Source organism: Homo sapiens, chromosome 9 (genome assembly GCF_000001405.40).
Source record: "Homo sapiens chromosome 9, GRCh38.p14 Primary Assembly".
Classification (NCBI taxonomy): domain Eukaryota; kingdom Metazoa; phylum Chordata; class Mammalia; order Primates; family Hominidae; genus Homo; species Homo sapiens.
The window spans coordinates 132,590,917-132,609,930 of record NC_000009.12 but is presented as its reverse complement, the minus strand read 5'-3'; the positions used below and the strand labels follow the sequence as shown (position 1 = coordinate 132,609,930).

At 47.9% G+C, this 19,014-nt stretch overlaps 1 protein-coding gene across 11 annotated transcripts in view, besides 1 other annotated feature; it reads left to right on the top strand.

Annotated features, from left to right (window-relative positions):
* The window catches only part of DDX31 (DEAD-box helicase 31), a 76,987-nt gene extending 60,053 nt beyond the window's left edge, over positions 1-16,934 (top strand). For 8 of the 11 annotated variants that reach the window (NR_136309.2, NM_001322340.2, NM_022779.9 and 5 more), the window contains one exon: positions 14,819-16,934. Coding sequence is in view for 9 of the 11 variants with exons in the window: in NM_001322340.2 (NP_001309269.2) it covers positions 14,819-15,065 (247 nt within the window). In the remaining 2 variants the exon portion in view is untranslated. Of the gene's footprint in view, positions 1-13,508; positions 14,789-14,818 lie in introns of those variants that run through there. The other 3 variants (XM_011518922.4, XM_047423734.1, XM_011518921.4) reach the window with 3 other exon arrangements.
* Positions 16,996-17,497: an enhancer, noted in NCBI's record as "NANOG hESC enhancer chr9:135467821-135468322 (GRCh37/hg19 assembly coordinates)". NCBI's record gives its function as "activates a minimal SCP1, AML or CMV promoter by ChIP-STARR-seq in naive H9 embryonic stem cells {active_cell/tissue: H9 hESC(naive)}" and the evidence as "EXISTENCE:reporter gene assay evidence [ECO:0000049][PMID:30033119]".

Below are 19,014 nucleotides of genomic sequence, written 5' to 3'. Positions count from 1 at the left end.
AACACACATGTGGCCAGGCGCGGTGACTCACTCTTATAATCCTAGCACTTTGGGAGGCCGAGGCGGGTGGATCACAAGGTCAGGAGTTCAAGACCAGCCTGGCCAAGATGGTGAAACCCCATCTCTACCAAAACTACAAAAATCAGCCAGGCGTGGTGACAGGCGCCTGTAATTCCAGCTACTTGGGAGGCTGAGGCAGGAGAATCGCTTGAACCTGGGCGGCAGAGGTTGCGGTGAGCCGAGATCGCGCCACTGCACTCCAGCCTGGGCGACAGAGTGAGACGCTGTCTCAAAGAAGAAAAAAAAAAGAAACACACATCTTTGTTTATTCCGATCCCTGAAAATAAATGCAATCCCAAGATTTCATAGTTAGCAGATGATCTCCCTTTATGACTGGAGATTTCATTAGCAAGTGTTAATCCAGATAGCAGCTCCTCAGACCGGCCCAGATCTTGGAAAGCAGAGAGGGAGGCCTGTGGGCGGGGGAATTGGAGGCAGCATTGTCCTTACCTTGAGAAGCCGCTAGGGAGAGAGCAGCCTGCCGCCTCCTGCCCCAGCTGACCCTCGCTAGCAGATGGGCACCAAGACCACGATACCCCTGTGAGCAGGGGATTTAACAGGGCTTTATTTAGGGAAGAATGGGCTGATTAGCTGATAAAGAGCATGTAAGATGGTATGGGGCAGCCTTTGATGTCTGGCTGGCGCGGCAGGGAGCCGGGTGGTGAGTGACAGCAGTGTGTCACAGGATTACTCCGCCCGTGACAATGCCGCTCTCTGTTCTTGCCATGTCCCCACTCTGTTACAGCTACTTTTTCCGTTGCTATGCCCTTCTTTTGAAGGCATTTCTCTTCACACTCCTTAGATCCTCCCCCCACCCCTGCCTTTCGAAGGCAGACGGGCACTCGAGGATACAGTAGTTACCTTTTTTTATTTGGGGAAATCTTGTCACTCCTGGAGGAGGAATGACTTTGCAGCTAATCTGCACATGGACCGTATAATTGTGGTCAGGGTAAGCGGCAGAGAAAACTTGACAGATTTTCCACACCTCAGTCAGGGTTTGAGCAAATGCCAGTTGCTGCTTTTTGAGGACTGGAAAGAAAAGTCCATTAAACCCCACAAAGTGCTTGAGTTATGCTGTGGTCACAATTACTGTTCTGAGCTGAAACGTCTCCTCTGAAATCCGTCTGTCAAGAAAGAGAATGGGTTCCTTATGTTTTGTATGGGTGAATAAAATAATGGCACTAAATTCTCTAAACTATTCTGCATTCCATTTTACGGTGTTTACTGCCTAGAATAATTATATATTATGTGCAAACCTGTGATATCTGCAAACCAAATCCATCAGACTAACAGAAGCCTGTCTCACCTGTCATATGCCAAGCGGGAGCTCAGGCGGGTATTAGAATGGGGATCGGGAGCAGGTTAGTGAGGAGGCTGTTCGGCTGGTCCATGCGATGGGAGAGGGACCCTTCGTCTCTTACATTGCCTTTAGTCCTTCACTCGACCACTTTTCAGAAAAGAAAAATAAATAGTTCGTGGCCCCAAATGAGATCTTAATAACTAGGTTTCTGTCGACTTTTCCAGTGCTCAGTTCTGCAAGGGAACAGTAAATATCTTCCCCTACACATAGAAATACAGTCATAGTCACAAAAACTCTTCTGACACCTACACGCAAACCTGTCAAAACAGCCCCCACCCCAAACACCGACATAGACATATACACAGATAGTTGGTGCTGTCGGTAAAATATTGAATGGCCCCTTAGCAACATCCATCACGAAAACAGCATTTTCCCTTCCGTGAAATGCAGTTCTTATTTTGAAGCTATAGTAGATTCAGCAGTTTCTGAGAAGCAAAGGTAACATATCCTTCCAAAGTCCCCATCTTTCCAGGAGATGCTGAGACCCAGCACTGTCTGCTGGGAGAGGCAGAATTGTGTTGTTTGCCAGGTGTCTATCTGTCTAGGTCGTCACACAAGTAGAACGTGTCAGAACAGTGAGCAGGCACGCTCAATAGGGCCACGATTCTCTCTCATTTCGCTGCCACTCTGTGGAAAATGGCTCAATAATATAGAAACGATGTGCCTTAAGTTCTTAGTGTTAGGCTGGGCACAGTGGCTCACACCTATAATCCCAGTGCTTTGGGAGGCCAAGCCCAGGAGGTCAAGGCTGCAGCAAACTATGATCACTGTACCACTGTTCTCCAGCGTGGGTGACAGAGTGAGACACCATCTCTAAAAAATAAAAATAAAATTTAAAAATGTTTAAAGATCTTGGTACTGTGACAGTACGAAAGAGCAAGTCTGCTGTTTCTAAACCACCCTATTTTATGTGAATTATATGCTGTGCTCACACAGTAGTTTTTGCCCAGACGATTCAGTTTATAGTACCTAAGACTGGTTTTACCCCTGACTTCTGCCACCTGCCTTTCTAGTGTTGTTCTTAGAGCTTAGAAACATCTGGGACATCTTCATTATCAGTAATGCAATAATTTTGTCCCCCTGTTGCTCCTAGCTTCCTCTTTAAAATTACTAAACAGCAATCTGAATTGTTGGAAAGAAAAGTTTTATTTGTATAAATTTTCTCAAGTCAGCCTAGCCCAAATGTTAGCTGGTAGCTCCTGATTTTATCAAATAAGGCATGGAGTCTAAGCTGGGGCTCTCTTACCCCTTAGTACCTAGTAGATCTGGGCATGCTAAGTCAGTGCTCAGCAGGCACTGATCAGTAGGAAGAGGGGAAGTGGGACCAGAACCAGCGCACCCTGTGGCTTGTGTGCCAGGCCTTGCAGAGGATTTCCTTAACCTCCCACACTTCTGAAGTTCTAGAAGTCATTTACTTTCTAAAATAAACATCCTCGTGGAAATCATACACACCAGTCGCCCCTTCTTCATAGATAGGACAGGTTCATAGATTTTTCCTGTCTGAATTATCAGAAATGCTTCCAATTGGAAATTTTGCAAAGCTCTGGGGTGGTTTTCATCTTTGAAGGCCTGTGCTGTGTTGTTCTCTGGTTCTCACCCTTGCTCATTCAGCAATTGTTTAATACCTGGGAAGAGCTAACTGTGCAGAATAGAGCTCTAGCTTGAGGAGTCTGTACCCCCGTTAGCCCTCTCCCTTGCCCCTCTCTGGTTTCTTACATGCCGACTCTGGGAGAATCACAGTGATTACATCTGGGATTGAATCACACAGACACCAGGATTGAATCCTGGCCGGGCCACTTACAGTCTGTGTGCCTCTGGACAAGTCACTCAGCGTCTCTGTGCCTGGGTCCTCTGGCCTCAAAGGGAGGTACTCAAGTCGCCCTTTGATTGTGGGGGTTAAGCCAGATCATGAGTGGAAACATCGTGGTGTCCGGCACGGGAATAAGCGGGAGCATCTGGTGATCATCACAACGACCATATTGTCGCATTGCTTCTTCCCCCAGCCTCCATCATTGTCGCGAGTACCCGCGGAACCGAGAGTACGAAAAGTGAACTTCAACCTTTTAGCACCCTTGAACTTTTCTTATCAGGAACAACCTTGGAAACATGGAACCGAGTCCCTCAAAGACGAGCATTAAGAAGCTGCAGCTGCATCTCCCTGTAAAGCAATATTCTCATCATTAGAGCAGCTTGCCTGCCAATTTTTATGTGGCATTTACAACCTCCCTAATATCACTTAATTAGCTGAAGGCAAACCTGGAATCTTGCCCACTGTGAAAACTTTCTCGATTTCATTGAGCCAGTTAGCATTCTGTAAAAAGACAGATTGGCCAAACATGAGATGAGAGGCTGGACGAAACCACACTTGGAGACATGAGGATTTCTCCGTGTAAATCCACTGCACCTGAGTCAGTGCTTATCTACTCCATCTCAGCCGCATCCAACACTGTTGATCCCTCCGGCCTCCTTAAATCTGTCTCTTCCCTCCGCTTCCCAAACGCTGTCTTTATGAATAGCAGCCCTCAGCCCCGGCGCTCCATCCGAACCTCTGAAACAGTCTCCCACCGAGTCTTCCTGTGGCCACGGCACCGCAGTCAGCTAGCACCTCCACAGCCCTCACCGCATCTTGCCCTGGCTTAGCGCCTTTCAGTGGCATCCCGTTAGGCTGTGATTAGAGCAAGCCACAACAAACCCCCCTCCTCACAAAGGCCCCCAGCCTTTGCTGATTGTTCAGCCTCATCCCACACCCCTGTTTCTTATCCTTTCCTCAGGGCCTTTGCCTGAACATGTCCTGGGCCTGGACCTCTCCCCTCCATGCTGTGCCCTCTCCAGCCAGGCAGACACCCTCACGTCTCTGCCCTGGCCCTGGTCTGTTGTGGTGGCAGCTTTGCATCTGCTTGTGGTATTTGTATGTGTGGTCAGCGTCTGCCCCTCCTCGAAAGTATAGCTTAGAGAACAGCCCCTGCCTGGTGTTTGCTCATCGTGCAGGTTGCGTATTTCTCATCCAGAATGCTTGGGGACCACAAGTGTGTCAGGTTTCAGTGTTTTCAGGTTTTGTGGTGTTTGCGTTGTACAGGTTTTTTGAGCACCCAAACCCTGAACTCTGCAGTGCTGCAGTGAGCATTTCCTTTTAGTGCCACATATCATGCATCATGCTGGTGCTCAGAAAGCTTTGGGTTTTGGAGCATATTAGTTTTCAGATTTGAGATGCTCAACCCGAATGCCCAGCACCTGTCACAGAACCTGGCACGCAGTAGGTGCTCGGTAAATTTTTTGTAATAGATGAGTAGAAACCAAAATGTCCTATAATTCTGAGAGGAAGTGCACAAAGGAAAAGAAAGGAAGAAGGAATTGTTCTGACTTGAAAAGGAGGTAAATCCCTTTTTATTGTGTAGTGAATTTGGAAAACAGCAAACCCTGCCTGGTGGGAAAGTCGTCTTTCAGAACTCTAGGGGCTGCTTGTCAGTCATTCTGTCCTAAGAGAACAGGCCTGGGGTTGGGATCTCCTTCCCCACATAAAGGCATCCTCAGGAAGGACAGCATTCCCCATGCCCCTCGTGGTCCAGCCGCTGGTTCTGTTCCCTGGTGAAGGAGGCCTGGGATCAGCCCACAGAACACAGAAATGAGCAGGCTCAGGAGTGGGGCCTCCACCCCACCTAGACAAGGCCAGAGCAGGCACCCAGGCAGAGAGAGGTTGCTAGGCCTTGCTGGAAGACCAGAGCAAAACAGTTAGGACCACCAGAAGTAGCCACGAGGACAGATGTGGCAGTATATGGGGAAACAGAATGTGCTCTGGAAGTCTGCTGGGGAATCGTATGAAAATGCTCTGCCCAGGCTCCAACCCAGGAGACCGTGTTTCAGTAAAATCTAAAATTATGAAGAGTGAGATAGAAGTGACCGTGAACTTGACCCAGGGACAGTCCCTGGGAACTTGAAAGAATGTGGTCCTCAGAGCAGATGATGAGATGCTCTTCTTCACATGGCAGGGCAGCAAGGTGCTGCTGAATATATCCGTAGTTTAAAGATAAGTTAGGATTAATCAGTAGTTTTTTATGTAGAACCTGGGCCAGCTGCACAGATGATAGCCAAGAACATGCTCTCATGGCCTCTGTCAGGGGAGGCAGGCTGGCACCTCTGGGGTCCATGCTGGATCGTGTCTTTAGGGCATTTCTCTTAAGAATAAACTCTTGTCCAGCCTGGAGCAAGAGATCGGAGCACTACTGTGGAAGGTGACTGCGTTTCTTCTGAGTGGGGAACACTGGCCTGTAGTCTCAGGGACCATTTGTCAAATGAATCCATCTGTTATAGAGTTCATGCACCTCATGTTCACAGGCAACTCCAAATGGGTTGCACAGTGTGGGCACATGCTCCAGTGGGGGTTCTGCCCTTCCCCTCTCAGCACACCCCATGCAAAACCAGTTTCCACTGCTTTACCTTCCTTCTACGGTCAGGTGCTGTGGGCCTTGCTTTTCGGGCTCTGGTTTAATTACAGCTGTGCACACACAGCTTTTTACATTTGGCCTTTTGCTTCCACCATGGTTTTTTTCTATGTGACACCATGCAATTACCAGCTTTCTGCTTCCTCGTGGAACAAACGCACCCTCCTCCCCACCCTGCTAATGAGGCGATTAGAGGATTTCACAGTGACCCTGAGCTTCCTCCACACCTGGGTCACCTGCAGACAGCGGGAACCACAGGGCGTGCTTTCAGTCATGCAGTCAGGGCTGACAACAAAGAACAGGAACCCAGCCAGCCTCTCCCGGGACGATGCTGGAGACGGGCACATTCACTGCTGGAGCTGCCCAAGCACTGGAATTAGTAGATGTGGCTGGCCTAGCACAAACCGCTAGGTCCAGATGCGGCCGTGTGCAACAGGAGAGTACCAGCTCTTCATTAGCTCGTCCTTGCTCAGAGCTCTTCTAGTTCATATCATTTGAGAGATCAAGAAAGAACATGACAGTCCCCCAGGTCTCCCCTTCTGCACGCAGGATAGTTTTAGTCATCCCAAACCCCTCCTGTATTACAGCCGACTACCTCCTCTCCTCTTCTAATCTAACTCTACTTTCATTAAGTTGCTTTCTGCAACAGGAAGGTGTGTATCCCGGACCCCTCCACACTCTTCTTCATGATGTCAGAGCCTTTCCATCTTGTTATAACCTGTACGAAATGACTTCAAGTCTTTTTCAGATATCTCCACGTTGGTCCCAATGTTATAGCTACGGTCCAAAATGCAGAGTAATTTGTTAACTACTTAATAGTCAAAATGAGGGATACAGTTGAGAACCAGCATCCCAGAGCGACAGCATGTGACACTTTGTGCATGTCAGTTTTAAGTGCTCGTGGCGGTGGCAGCAGCATCTCTTTTGAGGGCTTACGTGTGTTCTCTGCTGAGCTGAGTCCTCCATGCACATTATCTCACTGAGGCCTCATCCAGTCCCTGTGACCAAGGCAGGATCCGCAGTGGCCAGTGTAGAACTCGGAGCCCGGTCATGTGATTCTGAGTCTTAGAGATCCTGAAGCCCAAACTCTCAGCCAAGGGCCGTGTCCGCTTTCTCGCCTGCCCCGTCTGGAAGCTGCTGGTTTCTAGAATCTGTATTGGGTGAAATAGCAAGTATATGAACACAAGGAGATAACTACTCGTGTAACCAAAGAAATGGCCTTAAAGTAGGAGATGTTTTGGTAGTGTGTGTGGAAGAATTTGGTTTGAAACTGTCAGAGTATCTTCGTAATGGGCAGCATGTGAATGCTTTTAGTACATTAGCTTTTGTAAGTGAATAAACTGGGACTTAGAGAGATGAGTACCTTGGCCAAACTTCCAAGAGTGGGTCGTAGATGTTTTCTATTCTTTGGGGAAATCATTGGAACAACTTTGAGAAGAGATGATTATAAGCAAGATTTGGATCTAACTTTTTTTCCAGTTTCCTCTAGGTCTGGAAGCAGAACGGTACAGTGCTAGGAGCGTGGGTTTTGAAGCCAACATTCCTGAGTTTGATTCCAACTCAGCAGCTTAGCTGTAAAATGGAGGTGCTGTAGGGTTGTTGTGTAGGGTGTGGGGAAGGGTAAGGAATGTGCAGCCTTAGCTCAGTGCTGATCTCAGAGTGGGTGTTTGATAAACAGCTGTCTGCCCTGTCTCACTTCCTCTCTTTGATCTGTAAATAAAAGATGGAAACTACATAGAGTCTTCCCTGAGTCTGCCCAGCCTGGCCCAACCTGGTCCTGTGGGTCCCACTGCACTTCCCATGGTTGCTGTGGCCTGTGCTTCAGCACCCCTGGCGTCCCAGTGCCTTGCAGCCCCCAGGGCTGTCCATTCATGGACCTGGCTTGCCATTAGAGCTTCTGAGAATGAGCCAGAATTCACTACTTTCATTTTCCACCCTTTGGTCTTATTTCCATTGTTTGGCCTCTGTGAGATTCAAACGCTGTGTGTACATGATTTGCAAACATAGAAGTGATGTTATTGATCAGACCAGGCCTTAGTTCACATGACAATATGCCACATATCTGAGGATGACTCCTGTCTCCTCCCCTTTTCTCTTTTTCGTGCTGTTAATAATAACACTAGTCAGCATTTACTGAGTACTTTCCTAACAGGCTGTGTGCTGAATAGAGTGTTAGCTCATTAATCGTTGTAAGTGAATAACGTGGGACTTAGAGAAATAAGTACCTTGGCCGAACTTCCAGAATCAGTTCTACAGCCTGTATGAGGTTGTGCCAGGACCCCTGCTCAGAGGGGCTTGTTTCTGGTGTGCCTGTCTCAGGCTGTACGAAGGCCCAGCTGCATTTTGGTCTGTACTGTTGCAGCCTGTCCTCTGGATGGCTCGGCTCCACCCATCCTATCTGCCCAGGTTCTTTTCAAAGTCTGGTTCGTGAAAGTATCCAGACTTACAATGGAAACTGCCCAGCAAGAAGTATGGGGCAATCACGTCTGTTAGTGCAGGGGATGATAATGGCAGGGATGGCGGCTCCACTGATGGATGCTCAGCAGTGGCCAGGCACTGGCCCCCATGATGGATGGCCATTGTGGTCCTCACTTCAATCATGATGTTATCCCTGTTTTACAGAGGAGGAAACTGCCCATGATGGCACCACTGTCCACTGGGCAGAGCCGCGATTCGAACCCAGACCTCTGGTTTCAGGTTGAAACTTGCCAACTGAATCCCTGTCCATTTGCATATGTGACAGTTATGCCACCCTACCTTCTAACAGCAAGACCTGACATCTGTCCCAGTTCAAGCTCACCTTGCCAGCGTAGGCCCATCCCTTTGGTCTCCTAGACTGTTGTTATTTTGTCAGCCAGTGTATTAGCTGTTCCTGCAGATGTGGTAGACATGCCTCATGATTTCATCCAGTTCACCCACAGTGTCAAACAGGACAGGCCCAGAGGGCTGCGCTCTGGGGTGTGGGGCTGGGATTCTGCCTCAAGCTGGTCCTTCTCAGTCAGTATTTTCAGTGTGTAATCATAACAGTTCCAAGCACAACTCACTGCTGCCATGTTCACCCTGTATTCTCCATCTTAACAGTAATTCATAAGGCTTTCACAGAATTAAAATGTACCGAGCTCTCTAACGCACTGTAGGCTGTTTTACCTTCATACTGGCCATGTGCCTGTGCATAGGTCCTTTCTGATGTACCGGGAAACGAAGCTTGGAGAAAGCTGCTGTGACTCTACAAGGTCATCAGCTAGGCGAGTGGCAGAACTGGGATTCCAACCAAGGTCATCAAATTCTGGTCCTCTGCCCGTCCCCAGCACTGCCACCTGCCATCTGAAGTTCCTGCTTATGTTCTGACAGAACTTCCTAAGAGTTTTGGTCACCTGGGCTAAATAGTCTCAAAGTTCCCATCCATTTCTGGGGCTCTGGTGAAGCCCTTCATTTTCAAACATCGGCCATATCTAAATATGATCTCTCCTCTTTCCCATCATGTGCATGGCCTTCCAGGCAGCAAGTGTGCCGGGCCATCCGCGGTTTTTCTCAGTTGTGGTCTGTGCTGCCTGCCACTGTGCCTGTCCTTGGCCCAGGGCTCGGAGTTCTGAGCTTCACTAGATCTTGATCTTTGGCACAAAGCTGAAGTCCACTTTTCACCAGCCTCTGTGTCCACAGAACCCCTCCTAGGAATGCTGCTGTGATTCCCATGATTCCCACTGCCACAGCAGGACTCAACTGGAGCCGAGTGTCTTCTGGGGCTCTGGTAGTTTTACAAAAGCTAGACTTGATTGGATCCTAAGAAATCACAAAGAAGGCATCCCTAAAACAGCTGGTCTGCCAGCATACTTCTCTACCAGAACAGAACCCAGAGGTTGAAAGAGTCTAGATACAGTTCCTTTTCCTCACTGACCATAAAAGGTAGGGTAGCATCCTCCTTGGGTTGGCCCATGCCAAGGTCAAGTTGTCATGACATCCCACACCAGCTTATTCTTTCCCTCAGCTCCTCTGTGTACAAGCATACGGAGGGCCCGCTTGTCACATTCCCCTGGAGTTGCCTGTTACCCTCACTGTGACCTGAGAGCCACCAAAACCCTACCCAGACATTGCTGCCTTTTTGTCCTCCATAGAGTCAGGCACAAGTGTAGAGACTTATAGTCAGTCCCGGGCCACCTGAAGTCCTCACGGTCTCCTGCGTTCACTGAGAGCCCAGGCTTTTCTTCCCATGTGGGGGACTTGCGTCGTCAGCAGAGACCTTCAGGGCCTAGCCGTGGCCCTGGAACATGTGCTTATAAGCAGCCTCGTTCAGATTAGAGGAGTGCACTTGACTAGTCCTCATTCTGAAGAACCCCTGTCTGTCTGTCTGTCTATGTTTTAATTGTACTACACCCTCGCAAAATCAAACCAACTCAAAGCCAAAAGGCAGACAGGTTTCTGATGAGTAGAAATTAAAATACTCTGGCATTTCACTATAGGACAAAATTCTACCATTTGCTTTTGTTTCCCCTTAGAGTGAATATACTGTTATTTTCTAATTATAAAAATAATGCATGCTCATTGTAAAACTACAGGACATAGGGAAAAGCTCAAAAATTAACCATAAGCCTACATTCAGGTTAACCCTGATACATTTCCTATATCCTTCAGACTTTGCACGTATACATACAGGCATACAGATTTATGTATATTAAAAACATTTTATGCCAGGAACTTGCCCCTTGTTTTGAAAACTGTAGCATGGTGACAGACTGCTATGGTTAAACTCTGTGAAGTCAGATTTCCTGAGTTCAAATTCCAGCTCTTGCATTACTGATTTTTGGCCCTGGACAAATGACCTAATCTCTCTGTGCCTCAGTTTCCTTACCAGGAAGTGGGGATACTAGTAGTACCTGTTTCAGGCGGTGGTTGGAAAAGTGAGTAAGTTAAATGCCTATGTCATGTAGTCGGTTTGGATGGCTTTGATTTTACCTGTTTTACATTTAAATCCATTAACAACCCATGTAATTGGTATTCGCTTCAATGTTTTCATCTATTTGTAGAGCCCATGAAGGGCGCCATTGTGGTCATCACTGCTTTTCACACAGAGCCTGCAGGAAGTGCTCTAGAGGAGCGTTTCAAGACCTTGGGGAAAAGAGTTACTGTTCAGTGACCGTTGTGGATAACTGGATAACTCTTAGGAAGAAACAGTTCATTTTTCTATTAATCAAAATAAAACTTAGATGGAATTAAAGCAGTAGCAAGCTAGATGAAAATATACTTTAATATTTTTGAAATCCTAGAATGAAGACTTTCCCAAACATGACCCTAAAGCCATAAAACATGGAAGAAACTATTGATAGCCTTAACGGTACATAAATAAAATTTAAACTTCTGTCCTATAAAAGAGTGCCATTAGCAAAAGCCTGAATTAGAATGGGTTTTTACCTAGGAAGATCATTGTGAGAATGTAATGATAAAGTTGGGAGAAGGCCCTGCGATCTCTCTTCTCCAGTGGTCATTGTAACGGGGTATATTGATTTACTAATTAGGCTGTGATTTCACCTTATTGGTGGTGCAAGTGGCATCTGCCTGTCTTGCTGAGTAATCCAGCCTGGTAACTGAGGGGGGGTTTATTCAGCCTTCACTACAAGGGAGTTCCCTGTGGTTAGATAAACTGATCTGTTGCTTGGTAACTACAGGATTACTATGGTGGATGCTCAGGAAGGCCATTGGAGAGGGGTGCGGGTATTTGGAGGGCAAGGAGGGCGAGAAAGTTGGCAGGTTCCTGGGAGCACTGCAGCTTGGCAGAAGGAGAAATTGAGTGCCCATCGCATGCTTGGGTTTAGAGCATTTCATCTTCCCATCTGTACTTCGCCTTTTCAGCATTGGGCCTTGGAACAAAGGAAAAGGAGACAGGGAGCTGGCCAAGGGATGAATGGGTTTTGTTGAGGTGGCTGTCATGACAGCAGGTGAAACCCCTGCAGGGTTGGCCTGAGCTTCTCCCACCTAAGGAAGAGGTCTGGGCTAGAAAATGCCACCCTCTGCCTGCTTGCTGACCACCGGAACCTCTGAGTGAGTGGACTGCTGGCTTTGCATCCCAGGTCAAAAGGACATTGACTAACATGATGAAATAGCCAGGAAAGGTGGTGATGATAACTGAAGGCACGTAGGACCCATCTCCAAAAGGTGCTTTCGAACGGCGTCCTCTTCCACCACGTGGGCCCTCCTGTTCCTATTCAGTGGCGCAATGTACGCACCAGTGGTTGCCTTCCTCCACCCCAGACCCACGGTGTTTGTGAAGGGACAGGTCTGGAGGAGCTGTAGAAGTGGCCCCGGTGGTGTCTGGGTGTCTGCCTGTTGTGTAGGCTGCATTTGTGGGTGTGGGCTTCTGCTCTGTTGGGTGGATGGCAGCCTGGGAGCACGGGCGCACTGCCTGAGCGCTGGTGCCTGGAAGATGCTCCCGCAGCCCGCACCGCTTCTGTAGGCAATTAGTGTATCAGTCACTCCAGTAAGATGCTGGTTCTTTATTTTGCCTTAGCGGTAGCAGGAGCCATCGTTGAAGTGCTGGAGCTTATGCTGGGGAGCATATTTTGACTGAAATTTTGCATATTTTGAAACTTAGGTTGTTACATTTAAAATTATACACATTGTGAACCTGGCTTCAAACAAGAGGGAAGAAAAAGCATTCCTTCCTGTCAGACCCTTTTCACTCTGTCACATAACCTGACTAAAAATAAACTACAGGCACAGGAACTGGCAGCCTTCAGTTTGGAACAAGTTGAGTGCGCCCAACCGCAGGCCCTGTCTCCCGCCACTTCCCAACCACAGGTCAGCCCCCAGCAGCTTGGACCTCCTCCAGGGACACTGGTGCACATGGTCCGCACTGGGCGGGTGACCCATGATGAGACTCGCTGCTCTTAGGGAAGTGGTGGATGCTCTCAGAAGAGCCCCAGCCCAGCTGTCAGGGGCCGTAGCACCAGTCCTGGCTCCTGTGTGGCTCTGGGGGAGGTGCGTGGCATCTCCAGACCTCAGTTTCCTAATGTTTAACTGTGACTGCGATCCACATGCCAACCACCAGCTACCCCCTTATATGTCTTGATTTTTTCTAATCCTCACACCTGAGTGCCATTCTCAGTGAGGAAACTGAGGCACAGAGCCTGAGTCACTCATTCTGTGTCCTCAGCTGATGAGTGATAGTCAAGTTCCAACCCTGGCTTCTCCCTCCTCCACCCTGCAGCTCTGCTGTCTCCCCTCACCACTCCCTACTCACTTGCCTGGCTCCTGCCCCACTGTCCTGCTGAAGTAGTCCTTAGGAGACCACAGAGGACCCCTCCCATCACATCTCACCATTTTCCACCCTTGGTCCAGCTGAGTCCTGCCCCCGCTGACCCGGCAAATCGTTCTCTGCCCTGAGTTTGCCTCTTGGCTTCTCCACTTACCAGCCATGTGGTCCTGGGGCAGGTTACCCTCCTTGAGTCTTTGTGTCCTTGTCTGTAAATGAGGATAATAACCGTACCCACCTTGTTGAGCGAGGATTGTAAGAGATTGTGTATGTGAATCATTTCCCACAGACCCCAGGAAGTCTTCCCTGTATACTTCTAATCTTCTCACTACATCCTGCCCTGATGTGCTCACCCCATAAACTCCTGGCCTTTAAATGTTATCTGTTCATTGTCCCCTTGTTTCAGATCTTCTTTTCCTGCAGAGGTTGGCTTGAATGTGTCTTCCTGTATGTTGCAATAGAAAACACCATTGTATGACTGTCACCCTGTCCTCTGGAGTGTGATTAGAAACAGGTATTATTGCTTTAGCTCGTTTATAATGGGTTTCTACAAGCTTTCACAGTCAGGTTAACAACACACTATTAGTCTTATTTCTAATTCTTGGGTTTTAAAGGCATTGTTACATTTATTTTGACCACAGTTTCAGTTCAGTTTATTCTCTGATTACAGCAAAGAAAATGCTCTAAATGTAGTAGCAGAACGTAACATATGTCTTTGTGAGAACTCCATGACACTATAGTATCCTAAGACATTGCCGTTTTGGTATTGAAGGAGTTGCCAGCAAGGAAGTGTGGATTTATTGGTAATTGTTTTATTGTTGTTGCTTTGGTTAAAATCCTGTCTTAAGAAACATTGTTTTACTCTTCAGTTTTCATAATCATTCTTCTTATGTATGATTGAACATCTACAAATTTCCTCCTCTGATCTTCCGATCAAATGGTAAAATTGCCATCTTTTCAGAACAGTTATCAGGATTCGACATCGGAAATTGATTTTCAACCTTTGGCATTTTCTGAGTGACTTAGGGTAGGGAGAGACCTCCCTCTAACACCCGGGTTTGTGTGGGCTGCAGAAAGCTGCTGGTCTAATCCTAGATGCAGACATTGACCAGGCTGTGCCCTGGGTTTGGGTTTTGTAGGGTCAGAAATATGTTTAAGAGTTTTTTCCGTTCATAAAGAGCTATCTGGCTGTCATCCCAGCCTTCACTGTGGAACCCTGGAGGGCTGCGTGGAACTTGCTGGACTCTGCTCCCGCAGGGCTGAGTCCTGAAGCCCTCAGGAGCCCATGAGGAGGCCAGTTGCTTTAAGCTGCTTAGGGGTTACTGGGAAGCTGCCGTGAGCTTTCACTGCTTCATGTTGTTGAGTGTGACGGTGGGTTTTTCCCTGTCCTTTGGCAAACCGCTGTATCATACACCTCATTTGCCATCAGAGCATGAGGGTGTATAGTTCTTTTTTTCCCCATGAAAACAACACAGAACAAAGCCTCACTTTTAAAAATGCCATGATATTTTGCCGCTGTTATGAAAATCTGTCAGCGCCGTATCTAATCTTCTGGTGCATCGAATATCAAAACAAGTACTATTGAAGGGATTGTACTTCTGTTAATACAAAAATGTCAGCTTCACAGTCTCAGAACCAGCTGCTATCAGCCTCTTTCCAAATGGGAAAGAAAAATAATAAAGTTTCTTTTCCCTCTCTGCTGTTACTGTTCTTCAGGCCTGACCTTCATAAGAAGACCCAGAGTAAACACAGCCTCGCTGAAATCCTACGTTCGGAATACTCAAGCGGCATGGAGGCCGACATCGCCAAGGTCAAAAAGCAAAACGCACCTGGAGAGCCTGGTGGCCGGCCCCTGCAGCACAGTCTGCAGCCGACACCCTGCTTTGGCCGTGGGAAAACATTAAAATGGAGAAAAACCCAAAAAGGTGTACAGCGGGACAGCAAGACTTCCCAGAAAGTTTAAAATCTCTCTGGGTCTTCGAGTGGAACCTGGAAGCCCCGGGTGGCAGTGGATTGATGTCCAGTTCTTGTCAGAGGAGGCTTGTGAAAAATAACTGCGCCTTTGCCTGAATACCACGTCCCCAAGAATCAGAGGGGCCACAGCCCTTCTCCTCCATGGGAGGCCCTGGAGCCTGATAGAAATCAGTGGTGTGGGGCACTGTAGAGACTAGCCAGCTCCCGACGGAAGGGGTCTGTGTCTTGTATTGATCCCATCAGTGCCCGGCACTCCCTTCACCCAGGTGCTGACGTGCCGGGGTTGAGCTGGCACCCCGGGATGTGATGTAAGAACGCCCTGCGCGTCAGCCTGGAACGGGCTTGATTGCTGCCCTTAACTGTGTTCTGAAGTTTCACAGCTTGGCTTCAGCCTATCAGCGCATACATTGGCATGAATTTTGTGAATTAGGGTGTTAAAAACTGGAATTGAATTTGTACAAAAAGAGAATATATTTATCACTAATTATTTTCTTAATGTAGGAATGTACCGTTAAAAAGGACCAAAAGTTTTTGGTCTGGGTCAAAAAATACGAATGTGTTCTCAGGCTCGTGGTCCCTCTTATTTTCTTCTGGAAACACGAGGTTGCATTTACATGCATTGCTCCCTCTTTCATGTCCACTGAAAACTCACTCTCTCAGGGCTAATTGATTTACTGTTGGCTTTTTATTATTTGCCTTTGAAGTCAAAAGGCACCAGTATCCCAAGCTTTTTTTCCCTATCGAATCCTGTCTTGTCTTCAAGAAAGGTCTGGGGGTCTTTGTATTGTGACCCAGGCCACAGCTGCCCGCCCCCCGCCCCCGACCCACCCCGCCCTGCCCCTGCATTGTGTTTTCTGGGAGGTTTGAAAGAGGCCCCCTGGAGCATATTGATTTCCCAATAAATGTAAGATTTGGGCACTTGCAGAGGGGTCCAGAAGAGAAAGGGTTGGAGGCCTCCACACCTGTGGGCACCGCTCCTGTCCTCTCCACTGTGTCTTGCCTTCTCAGTTTCCTTCTCCTCTGCAGTGACTGTGCCGCCCTCTGTGGTCTCCCCAGGACCAGTGTTGAGGCACCACTTCAGTAGATCCCCCCAGATCCTTGGAAGGTCTGAGTGGCCACGAGAGGGTGGTGAGAGTTGGCAAGGTGGGCCTTCCTGCAGGGACCACGGGGGGTCAGCATCCTTGCCTCCGTTCTAGACACAGGTGAATGTCAGTGGGCACCCACACTGGCGGAGACTCCAGTGTGAGGGCAAGGAGGAGCCTAGTGAGACTGGATCCTCTGCAGGTGGAAAAATAGGACCTTCTCAGAGTTGGCTGTCACATACAAATTAACAGGGACTGTGGGTGACGTTTCTAACAATAATAATTAAAAAACAACAACCCTGCAGCACATGTCAGCCTGGCGTTGGGCAAGTCTGCCACCTTTCTTTTATTTCGATGTGTAATGGTTCACATGATTTGGATGAGAAAAGGAGGGATCAAACTTTATAGACAAAACCCAGCTGTGTGAAAAACAGGATTAATGCCAGTGATTGGGGATGATCAAAGAGAAACCTTACTTTTTCTCCCCCAGTACTCATTCCACTAAAGGGCGAATTGGCAGAGTTCGGCATCCCTGGGGGGAAAGAGAAGTGCTAGAATCATGCAACGTGTGAGTGACGATAATTCCAAGATCAAAACTTACACACTTAATCTGCTAACTCTTATGGTGAGGGTTTCTTGCCATAGATGCTATGTGGGTCTGTTTCTAAGTAGAATCACTATATTACCCCAGTTAATAAAGAAACATGGATTTAGCAGATTTAAGGTTAATATTGTTTAAATTTAAATAACCTTAAAATAAATCTCTTTCTCTTCTATTATGGCTCTTGACAGATTATACATTTCAGGCACCAATTAGGCAAAGCTTTAGCCTAATTCCACTGTACATATTCTAATTTTTGTGTATGTTTAATCATGCCTCTTTTTAAAATTTCCCAAACTTACTCATGTCTCTATATCATAAGCCTGGTTCCCATATTTAGAGTCACACAGAATTTGGACATTTAATAGAATGTTGCAGCCTAAAAGCGTTTCCCCCGAGTGGGCTTGTAGAATGTTTTTTTGGAAACCAAAACATCCTCATGTTTGCCACAGCCTTAGCAGTTGACGGGCCTCATTCTCACGCACTGAAGGGCAGAGACCCCTTGCTGAGAGATGAAGTCCGTGCTGATGTGCAGACAGCCCCTTGCACTCTAGAGAAGCAACGAACCAACCAAATCTCAGTAAAGGACTTTTTTTTTTTTTTTAACGAAGCCCAGTGGGTTATTTTGATTTTTTTCTTTTCCCCCTGGGGTGAAGGGAGGAGAACTTTAGGGAAGAGGGGAGTAAATGAGACCTTTCGGAGCAGGTATCTCCCAAACTGCCAGGGGCCTCCCCGCTTAGCCCTTCAGGCCACAGTCAGTGGAAGCCATTAAAATCCGGGCGTTGCTTTGTAGAGACGCAAGTTGGAGGCTTTTCCACGGGAGAAGTTGCCCTGCTTGAAAAGGCTTCTTAACTGGTCTTGTTAAACCTCCCCCTTGATCATTAGACATTATCTCTTAATCTGCTCCACACTAGGAAGAATCCAGAGCCAGGCCTGTCGCTGTGGGGGGAGTGGGGCACCCTGAAAATCAGCTCAGGTTCTCAACTTGCCCCAGTCCTCAATTTCCCTTGCGACCGAGGGCCAGCAGGGAGCTCTAAACTTCTTTTCAACTTTGTTGCCCCCTCCCTGTTGAGTCGGCGTTTATGAGGGGGGATGGGTCAGTGGCAGAGCGGGGGAAGATGGCTTCTCAGCCCTCTCCTATTGTCAGGCCTGTTGGGGTCCCACATTCATTCTTTTTTTCTTACACGAGAGCTCGCCCAACCTCAGGGTTGGGAACAGAAACCAATTTAGCCTTCTAAGTGGATGGAAGGCAGGAGCCCACCTCACTGCAAAGGTTGTGAAGTTATTATTACAGATGGGATGTGCAGGACAATTTAAAATATTCTAATTATAAACTTGTAGGGAAGCCTTGTTCTTCATTAATGTAGGATATGAAATCGCCTCTGAGGTACAAGGACAATTACATAGTTGAGAATGTGTCTGTGGTTTGCGCTGCCACTGTGTAAATGTGAGGGTGGTTGCTACGGTCTATCTCCTTCACTTTCACAAAATGAAAAGCACACCAGTGCAAGTTGTCCTTTGATAGATTTTTAATATGATTTTAAAGAGTTTTGTTTGGTCTCATTCTTATTCAATGAGATTAATTTAAAGCACTTATCCCCTGGGTTTAAGTCAATCCATGTAGGATTTGGGCAGGGTTTGTTGCATGGGGGGTTTTGTTTGCAGGAGGCTATGAGAGACTCCTTTCCCACTTCATTAACCCTGAGTTGGGGACAGTCTCTCCTCACCCCCCACCAGAGCCAGAGCTGGGGATTTACCAACCCCCATTCACATGCAAAAGAACTCGAAAGCCGAGGGGCTCCTTGACTTAATTAGCTGCTGTGCATTTTGCAAAATTAGAATAATACCCTCGCCATCCCAGGAAAGAAAGCTGCTGTGCGAGGGTGTTTCGGGGCAGGGAGGAAACAGTAGCGGACCTGGCTGTGGGTATGGTTTTCGAGAGGGGTTATAGTCTGAACACAGCCCCCGTCTTCAGAGAAACCCTGCCCCCAAACTAGAGGGGCCACGGCTTGCCGGCCCCCAAAACTTCCCAGCGCTGAGGGTTAGCGAGCTGCAGGTGGTGTGTGGGAAGGGAGCACCTGCGCCCACCTCCCCAGAGAGGGAGCAGTCTCAGGTGACCGTGGCCCTTTGGACGTGAACTGGAAGCCTCGAGTCTGACTCGGGACTTAAACCCCTCTCCCCTGAGATGCTAGAGCTGCGGTCTGGGGCAGCCAGAAGAGATGGGGCAGACGCTGGGATTTGGCTCCCCTCTGGGT